The 3,414-nt window shown below is 46.9% G+C and overlaps 1 long non-coding RNA gene across 2 annotated transcripts, besides 1 other annotated feature; it reads right to left on the reverse strand.

The window, feature by feature from the left end:
- Positions 1-218: 218 nt before the first annotated feature.
- Positions 219-1,537, reverse strand: LOC124904965 (uncharacterized). 2 transcript variants are annotated; one of them, XR_007067748.1, is made up of 2 exons: positions 1,318-1,537; positions 219-587 (listed from the first exon to the last, which is right to left on the reverse strand). It is a non-coding gene; the product is annotated as an uncharacterized LOC124904965 (long non-coding RNA). The 2 variants fall into 2 exon arrangements; XR_007067749.1 differs by lacking the exon at positions 1,318-1,537 and adding an exon at positions 1,075-1,239.
- Positions 2,425-2,924: an enhancer, noted in NCBI's record as "H3K4me1 hESC enhancer chr20:23638069-23638568 (GRCh37/hg19 assembly coordinates)". NCBI's record gives its function as "activates a minimal SCP1, AML or CMV promoter by ChIP-STARR-seq in primed H9 embryonic stem cells {active_cell/tissue: H9 hESC(primed)}" and the evidence as "EXISTENCE:reporter gene assay evidence [ECO:0000049][PMID:30033119]".

A 3,414-nucleotide genomic window follows, 5' to 3' on the forward strand; every position in this document is an offset into this window, starting at 1 on the left:
CTCGTGTTTGCTTTGCCAACTGCGGTACAAATAACAGGAAAATAACCTGGCCTATCTTTATTTGTAAGCATCCAGATATTCTGGCAATCGTTTATGTAACCCTCAGCTTACACTTGCTTCTCAGTGACATTAAACTCAAGTCCTAAGATCAGAAGAGCTAAATCAATGACAAAACATGCTCAGGGTTTTGGTGGTGATACTTCAAGGAGAAGAAGAAGTTAGTGCAGAGAATACACTTTTTAATGATATGATCAGTGGTGGGAATCAAAATCTTACCCCGAAGGAGTTTATTAAAACAAGTAACTGATGTTAGAAAATGTTCTTTCTAGCTCCTTGCAGAATCCTTTGGGGATTCTGAAGCAAATTTCTTAAGCAGTCTGAATTCTCAAAATTTAGTCCAACATTCTTCATTAACAGGCCTGGGTAAATGCAAGCTTCATCTCTTCCAGAATTTAAATTTCTCCTTATGAGAACAGAAGAGGGTAGAATAAAGGAGTTTATTGTCAGCCCACACTCTCGTACTTAAAACTCAGGGCAGAAATCTCAGGCTGGCACCATTGCCACTTCACTTGGATGGAGAGCAGCATCTGGAATATGTTAGAAAAGGCCTTGCTGTGCTGCAGAAACCGGAACATGGGGCTTGGTCCAGGACTCAGCCCGGAATTGGCTAAATACACAACACTTTTGTAAAACGGCATTGACATAGGCTTTTGTTTCTCCTCTGCTTCGAACCCCACGCACGCCCATTTGGTGCCCAGCCTGACACCCACCCCCGCACCCCCACATAGGTGATCCGGACTTGGCTGCTGGGGCTGCAGGGATGCCAGCCCGTCAGGCAGGGCTCCCCCTGAGGACTGGAGGGGTTCCCTCAGCCCCCTCGCTTCCTGGGCTGCATTGAGAGGGCCGGTGTTGCCTTCTTTTCACTTCCTCACTGAGAGACTGGAAAAGGGCCAGACCTCTCCCACCCCTCGGGAGGAAGTTCAGTTCTTTTCCTTCCCTCTTTCACTTCCCCCTGCCAAGCCTGGAGCACGCGAAGGACCGGCCGAGGGTGGGCAGGCCCTGCCCTGTGCTCACCAGCGGCTGGGCAGTCTGGGCGGAGGAGGGCACCAGCAGGAGAGAGGTCCTACAACTCGGAGTTCGGAGTTCGGCAGAAAGGCCTCCCCGGGAGGGGCTGGGAGCTCCCCAAGCAAGGGCAGGCACTTCCCCTCCCTTTGGCCACTTGGCCCTGGAGGGCTTCTTTGGAGATAAATCCCACAGAAGGGGAGGGGAAATTATGTAACTCAGGGAAAAACGCTATGTGGAGTCCCATGTACTCACAATCTCTCTGGAGGAAACCAGGCTTCACCGTCGCCAGGTGACAACGAAATGCCCTAACCCCGGGCTGCCAGCAGCACAGGGCCATGGAATCCAGGGAGAAACAAGCTCTGAGCTGAGGGGTGTGTAAAATGGAGGTTCTGATTCGGTAGCTCCGGGGCGGGCCTGAGCTCTGCATTTCTGATGCTCCCAGGGATGCTGATGTTGCTGGTCTGGGGACCGCTCTGAGGTCAGGGCTGTGGAGGGCAGGCACCAGGCTGAGCAGCGGCACTGCTGGTGCTGAGTCAGCTCTTCCCTCAGCCCCTGAGGTCTGGAGTGCTTCCCGTTGGGAGATTTACTAGTTTTCTTGCTTGGCTACCCGGCATTAACAGGTACGGTAAATGGGAATACATGGCTACAGTTGAGTTCTAGTGGGCGAAATGTCCAGTTACATGTTAGCTGCAACCCTTAACAAGCAGAAGTGAATAATCTATTCGGCTACTCCACAACACAGAATGTGTGCCTATGTTTCGTATGATAGCACGAAAGTAATGCCTTAGAATTACTAATGACTCTGAAGCCTCCAGTTATTTTAAAGGTGCCGTCCTAGTTATCTCTTGGAAATACATTGAGAAAAAACAACCCTTTCACAGCAGCCCAGTGACCTTTCTACAAACTTACGCTTGTGAAGGAATCTTTAATATTTTAGATCCTTAGCCAAATGTAACATTTTACTTTAATTTTCTGGACTGGACATTTGCAGCTTTAATGTTTAATTTTGGGGGGCCAAGTCATGTCTAAACGGGCTTCTTCTTTGAGATCCCCCCTTTTGCATGTTGTGGAAAAAGTCAGAGCTTCCCCTGTACGGAAGCTGAAGAAGCCAGACGCCTTGTCTTCCTGGTCCCAGAAGGTAGGGCATGACACCTATCTTCGGGTCAACCAATCAGATATTCCAATTCTGGATTTTAAATTGGGAATGGATTACATAAAGAGACGGGACAGTGGGCTAGGAGAGGGGAAATGCCATGTCCACGTGCAAGGCTGTGGTGTTGGAGGGCCTGAGAGCTGTCCCTCACCCATGGCGCTAGGTGGCAGGGCTGCAGCTTGCTCACCAGGGAGGTGTGAGGTGTGACCTTGGTCCTGCTGCAGCGGCATGCCCACTCAGTCTGCGCTCACTTGCCAAGCCTCGTTATCTAGGTTCCCATAGGTTTGTGAACCACCTCGCTTCTTTTCAAATGAATCTTTTTTTCTCCTAAGTCAATTAGGCTTGGTTTTATTTATTTGTTGTCAAGCACCCTGGAATGTACCATGCTTCTCACCTTTAAAAAAAATCCCATTACAGGTATAAAAGACAGCACTGATTAATTTCCTTTCTTTTTCGATTCCTAACTGCTGATTCAGGAACTTCTGGGATTCTCAATAATTTTTAGCATAATAAAATAACATTACTGCCATCATAAGTATATTTAGAACACAACTTCATGTCATTTGGTGTGTGATTCCTAGAGCATTATTTGAGTGTGTATTACATAACCTAATAAGTATCTTTTCCAATGAAGTATTACTTTGCTGGATGTCTTATGTCCAGCAAGGCGTGGCTCTGTCTGCTTGAGACCCAGATATACTAAGTCCAAGAGGGTAGCTGTGCAAGGAGAATCTGTGTCTTCAAAGGTTAGCCATAGTGTGCTTTCATTAACAGAAGATCATGAATACCCCCAAGTTAGCTGCTGGGCATCCTGATAATTAATTAATCAGGATTTCCTCTGCAGATAGTATCGGGCATACCAACCAATCACATCATCATAACATTCTCTGATGTGTGATCAGGTATCTTCTAGGGAAACTTAACTGCTCACTGACATTGACAAATAGATGCCACAGAAATGCCCAAGGATTTTAAAGCTGACAAATAAAACAGAAGAGGAGAGTACCCTGGCACTTATTGCAAGTTTTACCTTTCCAACTCATCACTTTGGTGCAAGGATTGCATTAATAGTACAAGCAGCGTGGGCCAAATGATCTTGTCATGAAGGCGAACAGTTAATTACCACTTACTGGAACTTGTGTGAAAATAAAAATTTTACCTGGAACTTAGTTGTGTAAAAATAAAAATTAAGAGGC

Source organism: Homo sapiens, chromosome 20, assembly GCF_000001405.40.
Source record: "Homo sapiens chromosome 20, GRCh38.p14 Primary Assembly".
Taxonomy (NCBI): Eukaryota; Metazoa; Chordata; class Mammalia; order Primates; family Hominidae; genus Homo; species Homo sapiens.